This window comes from Homo sapiens, chromosome 3 (genome assembly GCF_000001405.40).
Source record: "Homo sapiens chromosome 3, GRCh38.p14 Primary Assembly".
NCBI lineage: Eukaryota > Metazoa > Chordata > Mammalia > Primates > Hominidae > Homo > Homo sapiens.
The window spans coordinates 107,673,902-107,693,109 of NC_000003.12; the positions used below are offsets into that span (position 1 = coordinate 107,673,902).

Consider the following 19,208-nt stretch of genomic DNA (forward strand, 5'->3'; position numbering starts at 1 on the left):
GACAAAAGAGGCACTGTCCTCGTGACAGTCTTCAAGTATTTTATTTATGTTGGTGGACAGATGTGAACTGTTCTTTACAAGTGGTATGGCCACAAAATGTAAAATTAATCACTCTCTTTAGAAAAAAAATGCATTCAAACATATATGATAGAATTTGACGCAAACCATTAATAACACTTGTGATGATACATTTTTCAAGGGAAAAGAACGTGTCAGTAAATCATCTGTAGTCCCTTAAAAATTGGAAATACATGTCAGAGGAGCCTGAAAATTAGGCATTCACATGTAAATATCTTTGGAAATTCTGACTATGTAACTAATACCAAAAACTGCCTTTTGATTCTTCTTGATTCTTTTAGTAAGTACCGTAACGCCTTCGAGCCAGAAAGGTGTGTCTGAAAGTTCTAACACACACATTGTAGGATTCCTAAGTCATTGTCTCACTACCCTTCTAATTTTTCACAGATTATTCCAGGCGTTTAGTAGTAACATAAAAAGACCTCCTTTGTACTGATTTTAAACTTTTATATCACCTTGGAAGTTTTAGACTAGAAACCCTTGCGCTAGTAATGACTTTGGGACTCTGGACATTTAGCTGGATGACTGATCCCAGTGTATTGTTGCCAAGTGAAGGGAAGACATTGAGGCGTGCGATGCGTAGAATTGCTTTGACTCACTTCTTTCCCCTGGCAGCGGTTGCAGCCTGGCGGCAGCAGTACCAAATCTGTGTACTTGCATGTTTGAAAGCTGCTTTTCTTAGGCTCCCACAGCAGTTTGTATAGAAGAGGAGCCAAAGTAAGACATCTAAAGAGACTTTCTCAAAAGCAATTCACATGTGATCTTACAAAGAACTCCTTTTAGATTTGGTCCTATCACTACACTCCTCAGACTTCTGTTAAAGCCTTTGCTAAGAGGTAGTGTTAGGGCAAGGCCTGGTAAGTTCTATTGTGTTGAATTTGTTGCAGAGTGTTTTTAAGAAGTAACAGGCTTAGAGTAATTTAGAATGTAGGGGCCAGCCATCTCCAGACACGAAAGAGGGAACCTGAGATTGACAGGTTAGATGATTTAGCTAAGGCATGCTCCTGCTTACAGAGTCCAAGTTTTCAGACTTCCATTTATGTGTGCATTTATTATGTCAGAATATGGTTTATGAATTGTAAGAAATAAGTTGCAGAAGAAAGAAAGGACATTTTAACTATACCATAAATGGTGTCAACTGCCATTAATCTGATAGGAAGATCCAGATTAAAGTTTCAGACCCTGGAGACTGGAAAGGGTTCAGAGCTGAAAGAATGTATAGTGTATCTGTCCTTACTCTGTGATATGATGAGAGGCAAAAGATGGCAGTTTTGACGGAAATCAGAGCTTTTCTTCTCAGATACTGAGGGTTAGTTTGTGAACTTCTGTTTTTTGGCCATCATGTTTTGAGCACCTGCGGAGGAAATCGTGCTCCCTCAGCCTCAGCTAGTTTAAGGACTGTGCTGATGGGAAGCAGAAGCAGCTCCTTGTGCCCTCTTAGTAAACAACACAGATTCTCACTTCAATAACTGATGAGTCTGTTCTGTTGTCTCTCAGTCCCCTTGTCAAAACCACTGATCTGGATTGCTCTACAGAAGCTGCTTTGCCCCTCTCTTCTCATGATCATGGAGGAGCTCAGTTTTAATACCGTCGTTTGTGTCTGATACACTTAGGCAGCAGTTCCCTCATGGACCTTTTAGATCAAAAATGAAACTATAGTACCTTAAGAAGCTTTTAAAGGAGACATTCTGTTACTATTTGGGGAAGAATAAAAAGGCAGTATGATATAGCGGAAAGAGTTCTGATTTTGTGGTCAAGAGACCCAGAGCTTAACTCTGCCACTAATTGGTTTGGTGAACTTGAGCTAACCTTTAACTCCTGTGGGTCTTTTTATTGTCATCTGTGAATTGGGGGACAAGATGATCTCCAGGGGCTGGATTTGCAGTCCCTATCAAGTCTATATTGAAGGGTTTCATTTTTAGAAGAGTAGCTCTTTAAACTATCCTATAAATTAAATATGACACCAGAAATAGCAGTGACAAATGGAGAATTTTCCTAGGGAAGCCAGTTATGATAGGCTACAGAAAACTTTTTAAAATAAAAACTTTTTATTATCACACAGTAGGAATGCCCTCCAAATAAATTGATAATTTCTGTTTTACAATGTGGGAATCTGAAAATATCTAGAAAATTAGAAGCTTTTAAAAAAAATTATAGAATCTGCTTCCAAAGATCAAAAGAAAACAAAACAATGAGTCTATAACTAAGGTAATTTAGATAGATGTGGATTTCATCTGATTAAGTTTAATTATAAATTGTATCTGAATTATCATAGACTAATACTATAAATAAACATTTGGTTGGATATCAGTCTTCCATTTTGCCTTATGTATTTATGCTACATTAATTGGTTTCATTAATACCATTTAATTGATCATAACTTGTGTTACTGCCACCCTGATGGTAAAAGGAGCCTTTACAGCTGTGTACATGTAGGGACATGGTACCACTTTCACAGCTTTGCTGGAAACACTATACTGATTTCTAAATATCAGACATAGCTTATTTAGAACAAGTGAGTTTGTTTTCATAAAATGTAGGGCAGCAGTAACAGTAATTACTGTCCTGATATAATGATGCTAATCTTTTATCATCATCATCTGAAGTGAATGATAAAAGCATGTTAAATTGAATCTCCTTTCTAACTTGTGTTATGCAGCCATTATAGGTCCTGGACCACTTAGGAGATAACTGGGCTGTTCCTTATTCTTTGTGGTAGTGGCAGATATTCAACTTGAGATTTAAAATCAATATTACCAGTCAGAGTTGTGTGTGTTTAAAATATGTTGTCCACCAGCTCAGACCAGTAATTGGTGAGAAAGCGGTGTAAGGGATAGGTGTTTTTTCATGCAGAATAGCTTTTTAAAAGATCATTTCATCAAGATTTAAATGTAAGCAAGCAGAGAAATTTTATAAAAACATCCACTAGATGGCATCTTGTAATTGTGTTTAGCATTATCCTGAAGCATTCTTGACTAGAGGGTATAATTGGAACAGGTTTTTATTTTTTTCTCTGAAGGTTGGTTGTTCATGAATATATGGATTCATATATACTTTAAAATAATCTTAAGTGAAAAATTTTAACCAGTCATTTTGTCATACTGCCCACTCATCATAGGAAACGTTTCTAGAACATTCCTGATATGTTCTCAAACATAGCATGACATTGGTAACCTGTACTAATAACATTGGGAAACTTGCTTTCATAACCATTTTACATTCTTAATTTTATAAAAATATGGAAAGCATAGAAAACTGGTCCCCTGCTAGAATATCCATTAGTTAGAAAATAAGCTTTGGTATTTTGCTTTGGTAGGGCATTGTGCTTGTGGCAGAGATACAGATTATATTTCTGGTGTGGTTCCAAAGTTCTTTTAAAGTTCTAAGAACCACTGACCTTGATCCTCTGAAAAATTTCTTAGTGTTGAATTTATTTTTCAAATACAGATGCTCTTTGACTTAAAATGGGGCTACATCCTGATACACTCACTGTAAGTTGAAAATATCCTGTCAAAAAATGCGTTTAATACATCTAACCTTCCAAACATCATAACTTAGCTTAGCCTGCCTACATGCTCAGAACAGTTATATTAGCCTACAAGTGGGCAAAATCATCTAACAGAAAGCCTATTTTATGATAGTGTTGCATATCTTATGTAACTTATCGAATACTAAAAGTTTTTCAAGCATGTTTAAGCTAGGTTAGGCTATGATATTCAGTAACTTGGGTATATTAAAGACATTTTCCACTAATTATATTTTTAAGTTACTTGTAAGTTGAGAAACATCTGTATTAACAAGCTAACAATCTTATTCTTAAGTGCATACAAATTTACCAATGATTTGGTTAATCTCTTTAGCCTATTAGTATTTTTAAAAGCTTATTGTTTACGGAACTATAAGTATACCCCAACGTCTTCTTTTTTGATTTTTGAATTATTTGTATTTTAAGTTAAAGAAAAGCTAGAAAATAGAATTACCAAAAAGAAGAAAACCTCATCCATAATTTTATCACAGAGAAATAATGTCGTAAACAATTTAGCATTCATTCTTTCAGGCTTTTTTGGTTTATGTGTATATAAGCACATATTTATTATGTATTTTTTTAAAGGAATCAGGCTCTTATATTCTATGCAACCTTTTTTCCCACTTATCTTCAGTGTCTTTTTATGCCAATAAATGCATTTTCATGGAATTCTTAGTCACTATAAATTGTTACATTTTAACCAAGCTCCTGCTGTTTATATTTTGCCCCCCACCCCCATTTTTTCTCTACCCACAGATTTTTGACATGCAGAGATATTTCTTTACCTAAGGGTATTTAGTGAGGAGAGCACTGGATTAAAGCAGCATAGGTCAACCTAGCACAACATCTGGTTAATAGTAGGTTCTCAATAATATTGAATGAATTTTTTACTTTTTTTGGTTACATGAGTTTAATGGTTAGAAGTTATTATGGGCCTAGCATGGTGGCTCAAGCCTATAATCCCAGCACTTTGGGAGGCAAGCCGAAGCAGGAGGATTGTTTGAGCCCAGGAGTTTGAGATAAGCCTAGGCAACACAGTGAGACCTCGCTTCTGCAAAAATTTGAAACATTAGCTGGGTGTGGTGGTGCACGCCTGTAGTCTCAGCTACTCTAGAGACTGAGGTGGGAAGATCACTTGAGCCCAGAAGGTCAAGCTACAGCAGTGAGCTGTATTTGCACTACTGCACTTCAGCCTCGGCAAGAAGGGCAAGACCGTTTCTCAAGAAGAAAAAAAAAGTTGTTAATTGTAGTTTATTTCAAGTTGACTTGAATGTTTATAGTCCATGATTAATTATGATGATAATGATAGCAAATCTTCATTTGCACTTACTGCAAAGCACTATTCCAAGCAGTGTATGTGTATATAAAAATGGCTTAATCCTCACAATGAAATAGATACTGTTATTATCCTTCCTTTTACAAATGAGGATGCCAAGGCACAGGGAGGTTAGGTTTCTTGCCCAAGATTACACAGTTTGCAGCTAATAATTTATAGATGCGGGTTTACAAATTCAGGAAAAAAGAGAGTTCACAGTTAACATTTGTGTCAAATCGCATGAGATATGAAGCATAGACAAAGTGAAATTAAGCAGGATGGTCTAGGATTTCTTTCAAAGTCATATTTAAGGGCTTCATTAAAAAAAAAAAAAGCCAAAGATTTGTGTAGTTCTTTTGAAATGGCGTCTGTGCCATTTTCTTATTGAATATAAGATCGCAAGTTGTAAAGTTTGTAGTCTAGATAATAGAGATTACAGTTATGTTTGACACCGTACATATCTTACTTTGACACAGATGATACATAATTTTTAATTTGTATGGAATTTACATATCATGGTAATAATTTAATGCATATTACCCAAAATTCAGGCTCATAGAGTTTTCTGGGCTTGAGTCGCATATTTTCTCAGCTTTGTCCAGGTCCTGCTGTGCTGAATATGGAAGCTGTGTGGTTTCCCAGCAGCAGAGCCATTGATCTAATGAACATTTATTAAGCACCTAATATATGCCAGGCACAACAATAGCACTGGGCATACAAAGATAAATAAAATATCACCTCTTCAAGAAGACATAGTGTGTGGCTAGCAACATTGAAAAGATCCATCCCAGAAACAACAGGATTCTGTTAAAGTGCTTGCTTACTTGCTTTAGGATTGTTTCTTTATAAAATGGAAAAAATAAAACATGAACAAACAGAACCAGAAAGGGATTAGTACAGTCCAGGCTTTCTCTTTCCTCTGAACTTGTACTATGGGGGCTTTATAAAAAAGCCCCTCTCATCTTGATGTCGTAGTACCTAAAATTCCTTCATGAAGACTCATTAAAAATTACTCTTCCCCAAAGCCATATTTTAAAATGAGTTTTAATTTATTATGTTACTTAACCCTTGTTGTCTCATTGGGAAAGCCCAGCCTATGACAACCTGGAAGGACTCAGAACTGGCATTTTAAAACAGAAAGTCTATCAGCAATGAACAGCTTCAGTAAGAAAGCAGGGTCTGAGTCCCTGGGATCAGGGAAGGCTGGGAGGAACAAGTGTTCAGTGTGAATGTAATTCAGGATTTCAGATACTTCCTGCTGAGCCCATAAGTGTTACTGTGGCCAGAAGGCTGTCAGACTTTGACAAGTGAGCCCTATTTTTGGATGATGGAGAAGCAAGCCAAACCTTCCTTACTGGCCACATGGGGCTTTTTGGTTCTTAGGAATGTCTGGAAAAGCTCCTCACAGACCAAAGTCGAAGGATGGCATAAATGAACACATCTGGCTTCCCTGTTTTACCTAGAGCTACTCCTGAGTTGGACTTCTTTATCACCGCTTACGAGTACCTCTTTACAAAGCCAATATTCCAAAATCCAAATAGGATTTCAGAAGCCCCATATTTCTAAGAGGAGGCCAAGGGGTGTAAGTGGTAGTAGACATGCAGAAAGTAAGGGTGAAGTGGTTTCCAAGTAAAATGAGGTTGTTGATTGACTTGAAGAGGTGACAGAGCCAAATTTATGAAAGCATTAGGGTTTCCCATACCTGACAGTATGGCTTGTTGGAAAAAGGAGCAGAAAGAGGCTGAGTTTTCTGTCAGAAACCACTGAAACCACTATTTATGTAATATTTATGGGAGACCATGTGTGATTCAATTGAATTGCTCTGTCTCGCTATAGCAGTTTTTAAAAGCTTCTTCGATTGTTGACCGGTCCGTTAAGACATGCTGCCCATGTAGATAAGGAAGACACTCAAGTTTCAACATCCACACTAAGTGATCATGAAGTTCTTATGGTTTAAAAAAGTTCAGATTTACAATTCCATGTAACCTTTCATTAATTAAACAGATTGGATCTTTGTTACTCTTCTGAAAGTTTTAGAATTGCACTTCATGTTTTAGAAATGACTCATCAGCTTTGCATTGCTCTGCTGACTGGAAAGCCTAAACTTGCAGAAGTAGTGTTTTTCACTGGATTTTGGAGTGTGCCTCTTTACGTGTGTTGTACCATGGTGGCCCAGCATAGAGGGTATAGCGATTGACTCCCTTCCTGTAATGCTTTTCAAAATGACACCTGAATGGTGGAAGCCCTGATGGTAGTGCTGATAAATAATGCTTTAGAAACCTGTTTTAACAAAATTAAGCCAATTTGGATAGCTTATAAGTAATCAACACAAATAGACACAGAAATATTAATGGAAGGTTTATGATATCAGGATTGTTAGCAACCAGAGGTCACGTAGAAAATATTTACGTCCACCAAGGATGCCTTAAGCATATAGTAGATGAGTCTTGTATGTTCCTGGAAATAGATGGGGAAAGGTTTAGTTAATAATGGTGTTATGAAACGTCTTTTTTAAGGAGTCTTAAATTATTTTTAAAATTCAAATTTATATAGTGCAGTGATTTTCAACTAGGGATCAATTTAGAGCAGTGATTTTCAACTAGGGATCCCACAACCCTACAAGGAGTGTTTAGAAATTCGTGGGACATTATTTGGGGAAATGCCACAGTCTGGGAGTGGGTGTAGGGGTCAAAGGGCAGGGAAGAGCCTAGATATATGTTAACTCAGCAGGAAGTGAAACAGCCTTGCCAAGTAAGGAACTATCTCACTCAAGATGCCAAAAGCTTCCTCACTGAGAAATGCTGATTTTAGAGTACCGGATATTACTGTAAGTTAAGCCTAACCAGAGAAGTAATTGGAAGTGTCCGCCCTTTGGACTCTGAAGATGCATATCATATACTGAGAGAATAAAGTAGAATTTCCTGTAGAAATTCTGGAGATTTCCACACTTACTATTTTATTAAGGTGAACTACCTTGTGGATAGTTTTACTCAGTTGCTTAACTGAGGGTAAATTTTATTTCTCCCTGTCAGTAAAGCTAGCAACAGGGGGGCTATAAATATAAATTTCCAGAATCTTACACCTGCTGACCATAAAAGTCAGTCTAGATCACTGGGGAAGCTGCACCAAAAGCATGTTTTCAGCAGCTACTGATAAAGCTAACATGAAATAAAATCACACACATTCAACGTGCTTCATAACAGTGCAGTGTAATGAAATCCAGAGGCCAATTGATAGTAAAAATCAGGTGTTGTAAAAGTGTACTTCACATAAAACTAATTTGATTACTCTTTTTAATAGCAGATGTAGAATAAATTCATGAAGATGTTAGGAACATGGGTAGGGTGAGTGAGGTTCGAGGAAGGAAAGACGACTTAAGTTGTTGGGAACTTTTCTTATGGAAAGAACATTTAATAGTTTTTCCAGTGTTATTGAGGTTATGGATGATTCACTATGATTTCTTAAGCTGTCTCTGACATTTTCCCCAAGTTATTTCTAAGACAGTTCACTCGTTCATTCATCACTAAGAATTTGTTCTTTGTAGTAGGTATGCTTCTATTAAGTGTGGAAGACAAACCTGCAAACAATAAAACCCCTGTCGAAGGTGATAATGTCACAGTAGCTGTGTAGATAAAATACTGTGGGACCGAAGGGTCTACTCCAGCAAACCAACTCCAGCTTCTGATCATAATGGGGCAATCACTTAAGATACCTAGAAATGAGATAAAACAGTATTTCTGCTCTCCCACTAGATTCCATAACATTGGTTAATAAGCTAGGATGACTCTGGTATAAACAAACAATAGAAATTTAAAGTTCATTCTTAATTAAGATATGATATGTTGAGAGTCTATTTTATTCCCATGTATGTAGTCAAGTAAATGCTTCACTTCTAAATACTGAAACTATAAGATGTCCCACAGTAATTGAATTACAGACAAAAAGGCTCATTTGCTGCAGTTGCAGTAATTATGTGGTGAAGCAGTTAATTTTGAACAAGTGTGAAAAGATGTCACGTTGTCACAGAAAGGATCAGAAAGAGAAAATCACTTTCCACTGCAGCATATTGATCTGATACCTCAGAAGCCTGATACTTTGTCCTCCATTAAATCATGTTTAAAATATTTGATTTTAAAATAACTTATTGACTTTCTTTTTTGTTTGTAAAATAAGACATGTTGAATGAGAATAACACCAAAATGCATGGAGACAAAAATATCAGTCAATGCATATACCACTCCATATCTGTTGTGAACATTTTATTGTTTGTCATTTCAGCATGTTTACTAGGCATAAACATAGTTGAACAGTTTCTTTTCTTTTTAATTAGAATTATGGTACATAAATGTTACTGTAAATGCATTTAATGGAAAATATTTTTATTGATTGATTTTGCCATCAAATTCCTATGCCTGCCCTTGTTAGAGGTCCCCCCTGCTTCCGATTTTAGTGTTTTATTTGATTTCACAAAGATGGTGGGATTCAAGGTGTGATGTGGTGTAAACTTGTACTTTTTAGAAATAGATACTTCCTCATATGTTTGCCATGTATCATAAAATTACTGCCCTTTAGTAGGATGGGAAGCATAGTTTTCTTTTTCAGGGAAAAGAAAATAGCTATTTTGCTAGAGAAGGAAAACTTCAGGGTATTATAAGGATTTATTTGTGATCACATTTGCCTGATGCTGATAGATGCAATGGTATACACATTGCTTGTTTAGATTGTCGTTCTTTTATTCTGCTTTCTTAACTTTGCTGCAGATGCTCTTAGTCACTGCATGTTCACATACTGGAGTGGTTAATGCTCCTTTTAGAAGCTAAGTTATCAGGCTGTCAGTCAAGAATGTACTAACTGCTGACTTTATGGATGCGTCCCAAAAGTTAGATTTGGCGTTAGAGGTCACATTCATACAAAACTCTGTTTTATGAGAGCAACGAATACTTTATGGTCCAAGTGCTGTTGGCAATTTTCCAGTTTCTATCTATGTGTCTATCAGCTCTACACTTTGTAGAAAGTAGGCATGCATGTGCCTGCACATGTGTTAACCTTAAAAGCATAGTTCTTTTCCATGAAAGCTGCTTTATTTTTTCTTACCCAGAAAGATTCTATTGTGGTAATGGTAACTTCTAACCCAGGATTATACATCTTCCTTAGGCTTCAGTTAAATCCTACTGTTGCTCTCTACTAACTGAACTTTAAGTTATCAAAAATAAGAGCCTTCCCATTATTTTACTATGTCAATATCTGTTGTTACCTCCCTGCATTAAAAGACCCCAGATGGAAAATTGTCTTTCTAAATTCCCTTCAGCAATACCTATTGCAGGTAAGAAACTATTTTTTAACAAATATTATAATGTGGTTGCTATTTATCTTCTCTAACTGTTTAACATGAACCATGGAGATGACGGATATTTTATTGTTTTAAAATAAGCTTGTTTCATTCTACATATCATCATTAGACTTTTGCCTTAGCAGTAAGTATGAAAGGTTAAGAAATAGATTCCATTTTTAAATAAAAAACTTAAACTATGTTTCAGTTTAAGGTCTTCAAAATTTTTCCCATAGTTGCGATATTTTTTTTCTGAGGTAATAAGCCCTGTCCAAGGAGATGCTGAATAACTCTCTAATAATGTCCAACAATGTCTGACATCACAGAGAAGGAATTGAGAGGGTCTCCCAGGTAGTCAAATGGATGCTGTTGCTATGGTAAGTTCCTACGTCACCATGACAAGCAGAAATATCCAAGGAAGCAGCAGTGGCGGAGCAAAGGCAGCCACTTCTAGCCTGGCAACTAAAAGCTGAAAACTCACATGACTGAATTTCAGGGAACAGTTTTCCCATAGTTGAGAGTGGGGTGCCTAACTGAATCATCAATGTCAGCTATGAACAGTAAGAAAAATGCCTTTGTAAGATCAAAGATAGATACTGTATTTGGAATTTGTTCAGGAAGAGTAACTTTGCAATTGCAAATATACTTTTAACTGCAGTATTTGTTATCTGTCTTCGAAGGAGAGCTGCATGTTGATAGGCCACTTCCTGCCTTTCATCTTTTTTTTCTGATTGTAGGCAAAGTGGGTGCGGGGAAGCAGCACCGTAGAAGTGCCAGTCCTTTTTTAAGAGCTGTTTTAAAACATGGACAACTGAATTACATATTTTAGAAAGTAGAGTTGGTTCTGAAGAAATGCAATTTTGTGGTAATTTTGTGGTAGGGTCACTATGAATGGCTTCCAAGAGACTTCTGCCAAATAATAGCAGAGGTCAACAGTATAATCTATAGAGAAACTAGAGAACAGAAAATAAGAATGTATTAGTTTTAGGAGCCAGGGTGTTATATAGACTGACAGGAGGCTGCCAGGATCAAGAAACAAGTTTTAAGAGAATAGGAAGCCCATCTGATAGGAGACAGTATCCATGAGAGTAGACACTGATTTGTCAGTTTGACAGGTTCTTGTTCGTGGAATCAGCATAAAGTTACCTTGATCCACTTTAACTTGAGGGTGTTTAATCAGGTGTTTGGTATAACGAATGTTGAGGGTAGTAATTTGGGGCCACATTAGGCTATTTGCAAAGTCACACTTGAATAGCCTTAACCAAGATGATTTTTCTAAATGAAATTGAAGGAAGCAAAGGGGAGGAAACTCATCAAAGGTTGCTGAAAATTACATGTAGAAGATACGCTATTCCCTTTCCTTCTCAGCCTTCATTTTTCTTCATCAGCTCTCGCCAGTGATGCATCTGTGAGAGGATAATGCAGGCTATCCTGCCATGAGTAATGGACCTTGATTTCCACTTTTCTGATTGCTTGCTATCTGCTGTAAGTAATGCCTTACAGGCATTCTCCCTGTGTCCTAGAGCATTTTAACTAATACTCTATTTGGGCAGAAGTCCCAATAACCACATAATTTTTCATTCAACTTTTCTAATTTTTGTCTTTATTGATTTCCAGTAAAACTCTCAGTGCAGATTTTTGCACGTTTGTTTTGTAACCACAAGGTTTTTTGTTGGTATGTACCTTTTCTTTGTGATATTCTTTCCTTTGAGAATAGCAAGGAACCCTGAGAATTGTTAGATTGTTCTCAAAATAGATCACTTCTTGTCTGCTCCATTCGGCTGTGACTTCTCTCATTAGGATAATAGAATAAAATTGCCCTTAAGAAGCTTTTCCTTTATTGATCCAGTTCATTTCAGAGGCGGAAAGTGAAGAAGAAACTAAGAGTCCTTTTTATTATCTTATTGTAAATAAACCTGGCCATTTTTACTCTTAAAAACAATACTGTACTCATTTTACTCATACTAATAGTACAAATTCAAGTAATCTCAGTTTTATAATTTAATAGGAAAATACGTAAATATGTGTGTGTGTTTATGTGCAAAATGTTTAGTTTTAACTTACCCTCTTGTGGATTCACTTTTACAGATCATTAAATTGGTGAGTTTAGATCAGTTCTAACATTGTACAGTTTTATCTGTGATTCCCAATGTATGCTTCATAAAATCTCAGATCTAGAAATAACCATAAGAGAAACCTTCTGGTTTTCCTTTGTCTGTTTGAGCAGTAGTAGATTTAATATAAGAAGAGCTGTCTGTGTTTTTTGTTGTTCTTGTTTTTTGTTTTTTTTTTTCTTCTGGTGAATTTCTAAGACTATAAACCTGTGGTGATTTTTAAGTAGGAAAGTTTTTAAAACTGTTTTGGAAGATAGTTGAAATAGTGACAGTAGTTGTCTGGACTTTGCAGTATCAATAATTTAGCACTTTTAATGGTCAAGGACAGACCCCTCTTTCCACTAGTCATGTCTAGGGGCACTTGAACTCCCCATTGATTTTTTCATCATGGAGGAGCCTCTCAGTGTTCCAGGTAGTTCTTCCCTGAGCACACGAATGGTTGGATTGATGTGAGGAGGCCCACAATTTAAAGGCCCAGGTTTGGCCATGTTTATTACTTGTCTGAGCTGCAGACAGTTGTGGTGTTCACATTTTCTAGTGTCATAGGCAGTTTTGCTCCAGATTCTGAATAAATGCAAAAGTAGGGCTAAGGTGGTTTAGTCCTAACCAACCCGTTAAAGGTCCAGATCTCCTAATTTCTGAAAGTTTAACATCTCCATAATAAATTATGCACTGAATTGTGTCTAAAATAAAAAATTTATATTTATTAAGGGCCTCTATGGCTTTGCTTTGAGGACATTAGAAATTGACTTTTTTTAAGGAAAAAAATGTTTTTCAATATACTTTCTAAATAGATGTTGGGAATTCTTATTAAAATGTTGGAGAAGTTATTTTTTCCTTAGTACAGAATTCTAAGAAAGCACATCAGAAATGTTTAAAATGTCAGAAGTTAAAAAACAACTTAGTGACGGCTTACAAAATTCAGCTTTAAGCCAATTTTCAAATCATAGAATCCAGCGTTAATTAATAATGGAGGGCAGTTTGCATAAACTGGGAAAAACAGGGAGTGAGACAAATATACAAAACAGCTGTTACAGTTTTTCTTAAGACTCAGCTACACAGTTAAGTTTCTTTTTTTTTTTTTTAACGAGTATAAAGGCTCTGTGAAGGCCCGCATAGCTGATATATTGTGTCTTTATTTTTCTTGTAGAGAATGGAGAGGGGGGAATGGAGAACTTATAGACAGAGAAGCGGGGAATGCAGGACAGCCTGGCCCCTGCTGGAGATAAGGAGGTAAAATCATAGCATACAGTGGTAATAACAGGCCTTCATGGTCATCTAGCCCAACTTTTTGATGCTTGAAGACTCTCCACAGTTTTTCAGCTTCATCAGTTGCTAATTTTGTCTTGAACCGGCCTGACATTGGATCTATTTTTCCTTTTGTGAGGTGAAAGCCAGGACTAGACACTGGTCATTTTTACTCTGTCTGGTACCATTATTGGTCCCATAGTTCACTACCCAAAAAGTGCTCTACAAGCAACAGAAAATGAATATGGAAAGTACAAAATGGTCCGGGCACGGTGGCTCACACCTGTAATCCCAGCACTTTGGGAGGCCAAGGTGGGAGGATCACCTGAGGTCAGGAGTTCGAGACCAGCTTGGCCAACATGGCGAAACCCCATCTCTACTAAAAATACAAAAATCAGCAGGGCATGGTGGCACACATCTGTAATCCCAGCTACTCTGGAGGCTGAGGCAGGAGAATCACTTGAACCCGGGAGGCGGAGGTTGCAGTGAGCTGAGATTGCACCACAGCACTCTAGCCTGCGTGATGAGCGAAACTCCATCTGAAAAAAAAAGAAGAAAAATACAAAATGTTATTTACACTTTATTACATTTTATATCTGTTCCCAGATTATCTTTGACCATTTCTGTATGAATGCCACAAAATTCCAGTTCTGTTCTCTCTTCAGCATTACTTTCCTATAAAGGCCCAGCCAGTTCTTCTAGGTCAATCCTGAGGTTCCAGGAATGGCCAGTTACCTGACCTATTTCCTGTGATCACATCCCTTGAAAGTTGCTGAACCTACTTAGTCCTAAATAATAGCACAACAAATAACTGAACAGTTCTTTTCAGACTCTTTTCAATGTGTTGTTGATGCCCAAAGTAAGAGAATCCAGGTCACAGTTGGCAAAGTTTGCAGTGGCAGGAAGCTCTTGGGGAACCCAGGGTTCCTTCTTGACCGTGTCTTTGGCAGTGTGGATAAATTTAGCCATTAGTTAAGGGGTTAATAATGGGACAAATTGAGATCATCAGAGGGAGTAAAGAGAATTGTCTGAATTCTCCAATGGCTTTTATAATTGCCAAGTGTCCAGTGCTGAGAATGTTATATTATTATATATTATCTATTCCCTAATGATTTGGACCACATTTGTTGCACTCTATTACCTGCTGCCTAGTTTCCAAATGGTTTTATTATTATATAGGTTTTATCTCACCAACAAGTTCTTTATTGTTCCAACTCATATTTTATAATCACTGTCATCTCTCTTAATGCTAGTCCATTAATAGGTCCTCAAAAGGTTGATTTGGGATCAGAAGGTCTCCCTAGAGGAGTTATATATAAGAGCTATGAAAGAATTTGCCCACCTTTTAGTACAGATTTGGCAGTCATCAAAGCAAATGGCTGGGAGAGCTCAGCAAGCAGAATTCTCCTTTGACTCCTCAGTGAGCCCCTACCTTTCAGTTCAAGGGAAGCTATAATGTGATATAAAATATGTCTGATATTTGCTGTTAGATTGTGATTTTTGGTACACAGCAGACAACGACAGGTTTTCCTTATTTTTTTCCCCCTAGAATCAGGGCGATCAAGTATATTTTATTTTCTCCAGTTGGTTCTTTTTCAAATTTTCGCCTAAACTTTTATTCTTAAGCCGTATAGTAGTACATATTTTAAAATCTAGCAATACTTGGACATTTGTGAAGACCTTTATTTGGTACAAAATGTCTTTTGAATTTTTGCTTGTACTTAAAAATATTTACAATAAACACAGGAAGTTGTATGCTACTCTGAGATTATAGGGGAGGTTTGTAGAGTGCCCTTCCCTTACGTGCTGTGTTGCTTATGAAAATGACAAGCTTTCATAATATCTGTTAAACTGTAACCTGCCTATTGTGTTCAGTACAGAATGCTGAATTTAGTTAAAATGTTAAGATATGTTTGTTCCACTTCTGCCTCAGAAAAATTAGATGGAGATGTGTGTGCTCTCCATCAATAAAGCGTATTTGTTTTGAAAGATGCAGCACTCACGGGCTGTCAGTCATAACGACTTCTGAGAGTACTTTAAGAGCTGCAGCATCAATATTTACAAAATACAAAGTGAAGAAAAGTACATTGCGTCACAGACATGTGCTGTCTTGTTCCGATTCCCTCCCTCCTCAGTGTATTTAGTATAGTTAAGTCTATATGGAGGAGTATTTGAGATACGAATGGAAGTTTGGGATTCCTCTAAAGTAATTACTGAGAGGTATGAATGAAATACCAACAAGGCTTGTAAAATGGAATTACTTTTCCTCCCAAAGTAAATGTATTGATTAAAAACTAAAATCAGTGATACAATCAGATGGAAGAAAGTACCTGTGTTTAAAGTCCAGAGCCTTTATAGGCTGTGTTCCTAGTTTGCTTCTTAATGACATTATAAAGATTATGTAAATCTCTCTGAGGCGCCTCTCAAATGGGCATAATTTTACCCATTTCATGGGATTTTGTAATAATAAATGTGTGCAATAAAGGCTTTGTAAGTTATAAAGTGGTACATAGTTGGAAAGCAGCAAATAAGGTAGCCTAGGGTTTTTTAATGGCAGTACTAGCTTTTTGTATAAGAAAATATATTTGGAACTTATTAATGAAATGTACTCAAGTTGTATATTATAAAGTGCTTTATCATAAAAAATTAAAACGAATGTATTAGATATGTCAGAACAATGACTTTATTATTATATTATAATCTATCTTTGAAAAAAACTAAAAGCAGCATGGGCTCACTTTTAGCATATAGTCTCTCTTATTTATCCTGTATTCTGCCACTAACTCTTGTGGCCTGGTAAATTACTAAGTGAAAGCATTCTCTCCCTCTTGTTTCCCCAACATAATGCCATTGTGTAAATATGGAAAGGCTTGGTTAGACACTTATCACAAAGTACGTTGGAGATTCCAATTAGAAATGGACTAAATTAATGAGAAATGGTTTTAGCAGGGTTAAGAATCTTGCTTAGGGGAAAAATGATATTGTATTTGAAAATTCTTGGGTTTAACTCAATATGTGGATGGTTACCTATCCCTAAAATCAGCAAACACAATGCCTTAATGATATAAAGAGCTTCTTCAGTGATTTCCCAGGTTTATATGGTTTATGATTATTTTACAGAGTAGCTTTTTTTTGGTATTATAAAGCATTACCTTTATATTTAAATAGGATGCTAGAAAATAAAAATTTGGCCAGCAGAGGGAGCAGACTTATGTAAATTGGGCTGTAAGGAAGATACTCTAGGGTACTTCAGTAAACGTGTATCTTGTGGGTAGTGATTTACAACATTCTTGTACTGTGCATTGAGAAGAAAATTAAAGGAAGGAACTTCAGTCATATTAAAACCAGTTCTTTATGTTCTCACTTTGATGCCCCCCCCCCTTTTTTTTTTTTTTTTTTTTTTTTTGAGAAAGAGTCTCATTCTGTTACCCAGGCTGAAGTGCAATAGCATGATCACAGCTCATTGCACCCTCTACCTCCTGGCTCCAAGGCTCAGGGGATTCTCCCACCTCAACCTCCTAAGTAGCTAGGACCACCGGTGTGCACCACCATGCCTGGTTAATTATTAAATTTTTTGTAGAGACAGAGTCTGATTATGTTGCCTAGGCTGGTCTCAAACCCCTAGGCTCAAACGATTACTCCTGCCTTGACCTAACATAGTGCTGGGATTACAGACATGAGCCATGGCACCTGGCCACTCTCGTACTTTTTAAAAGAGAAAAAAGGCGAGCAAATAATACACGAATAGGAACTGTGTTTTGTTATTGTTGTTATTCTTAGACATGAAGAATCTTTTGTAAATAAATGTCATCAATTTAGTAAATTTACTGGATAAAAATAAGGTTTTAGTACTTGGCTCTGGTTGGAGCACATTCATTCTAAACACATAAAAGGAATATAAATAACACCTGAAAGAAATATAAAAGGAATTGTTAATGTTCTAAACAGAGCACTGTTATGACTGAATCATCAAGTAAGCACTTACATTTTGTATCATATATATTAAATCAGGAAAATGGAAAATATTTAACATAAAAATTTCACCCAGCATGACGCAAGTATAAAACAAACGGTTTTCTGCTCAACACTAGTTATATAGAAATTAATCAATGATAGCATCCTATGCATTCTAATTAATTTCCTTGGCAAATGTGCAGGCTGATATAAGATGATTGGATTCATGCATTTACAAGTACTATTTATTAAATACGTATATTCAAGGCAGTATTCTAAGCATTTGGGAAGGTAAAGGTAAACCACACCTACCTTTATGTAATTTGTAATTTAGTAAATGGTGAGTCTAATTCTAGTGTACCAAAGTGAAAGTAGGTGGGCGTTGCAGCAGCTAGGATAAGCAACTTCGCTAAACACTATACTACTTAAAATAAGAAATACGTATTCTTTTTTTGCTTTTGAGAAAAATATTTTTGTTTTGCAACCATTAAGATTGAGAAGTTTTGCTTTATGAAGTGAAGTCGATTTGACTGTTACTTAAGTTATTCACCATCTTTCTTACAGTAAAGAACAGTAGCTAAGGAAAAAGATTTCCAATCAGTGATACAGACTATTGATTCTTAACTAAATCATTGTTTCTGCATTGTTTTTTAAAATTATAATTAGATATCAGGATGATAGAAAACATCCAGATTTTTTAATTATTTTATTTATTTATTTATTTATTTATTTATTTATTATTATTATACTTTAAGTTTTAGGGTACATGTGCACAATGTGCAGGTTAGTTACATATGTATACATGTGCCATGCTGGTGCGCTGCACCTACTAACTCGTCATCTAGCATTACGTATACCTCTCAATGCTATCCCTCCCCCCTCACCCCACCCCACAACAGTCCCCGGTGTGTGATGTTCCCCTTCCTGTGTCCATGTGTTCTCATTGTTCAATTCCCACCTATGAGTGAGAACATGCGGTGTTTGGTTTTTGTCCTTGCAATAGTTTGCTAAGAATGATGGTTTTCAGTTTCATCCATGTCCCTACAAAGGACATGAACTCATCATTTTTTATGGCTGCATAGTAGTATTCTATGGTGTATATGTGCCACATTTTCTTAATCCAGTCTATCATTGTTGGACATTTGGGTTGGTTCCAAGTCTTTGCTATTGTGAATAGTGCCACAATAAACATACGTGTGCATGTGTCTTTATAGCAGCATGATTTATAATCCTTTGGGTATATACCCAGTAATGGGATGGCTGGGTCAAATGGTATTTCTAGTTCTAGATCCCTGAGGAATCGCCACGCTGACTTCCACAATGGTTGAACTAGTTTACAGTCCCACCAACAGTGTAAAAGTGTTCCTATTTCTCCACATCCTCTCCAGCACCTGTTGTTTCCTGACTTTTTAATGATTGCCATTCTAACTGGTGTGAGATGGTATCTCGTTGTGGTTTTGATTTGCATTTCTCTGATGGCCAGTGATGGTGAGCATTTTTTCATGTGTTTTTTGGCTGCATAAATGTCTTCTTTTGAGAAGTGTCTGTTCATGTCCTTTGCCCACTTTTTGATGGGGTTGTTTGTTTTTTTCTTGTAAATTTGTTTGAGTTCATTGTAGATTCTGGATATTAGCCCTTTGTCAG

At 36.4% G+C, this 19,208-nt stretch overlaps 1 protein-coding gene across 29 annotated transcripts in view; it reads left to right on the forward strand.

Moving 5' to 3' along the window:
* The window catches only part of BBX (BBX high mobility group box domain containing), a 288,378-nt gene that overhangs the window by 150,940 nt on the left and 118,230 nt on the right, over window positions 1-19,208 (forward strand). For 4 of the 29 annotated variants that reach the window (XM_024453644.2, XM_024453657.2, XM_024453662.2 and 1 more), the window contains exon 1: window positions 2,337-3,569. The exons of 16 other annotated variants lie outside the window; for them this stretch is intronic. In XM_024453644.2, the coding sequence (XP_024309412.1) occupies window positions 3,543-3,569 (27 nt within the window). In that variant the 5' untranslated portion in view covers window positions 2,337-3,542. Of the gene's footprint in view, window positions 1-2,330; window positions 3,570-19,208 lie in introns of those variants that run through there. 9 more of the 29 variants (XM_047448598.1, XM_047448600.1, XM_024453663.2 and 6 more) reach the window with 4 other exon arrangements.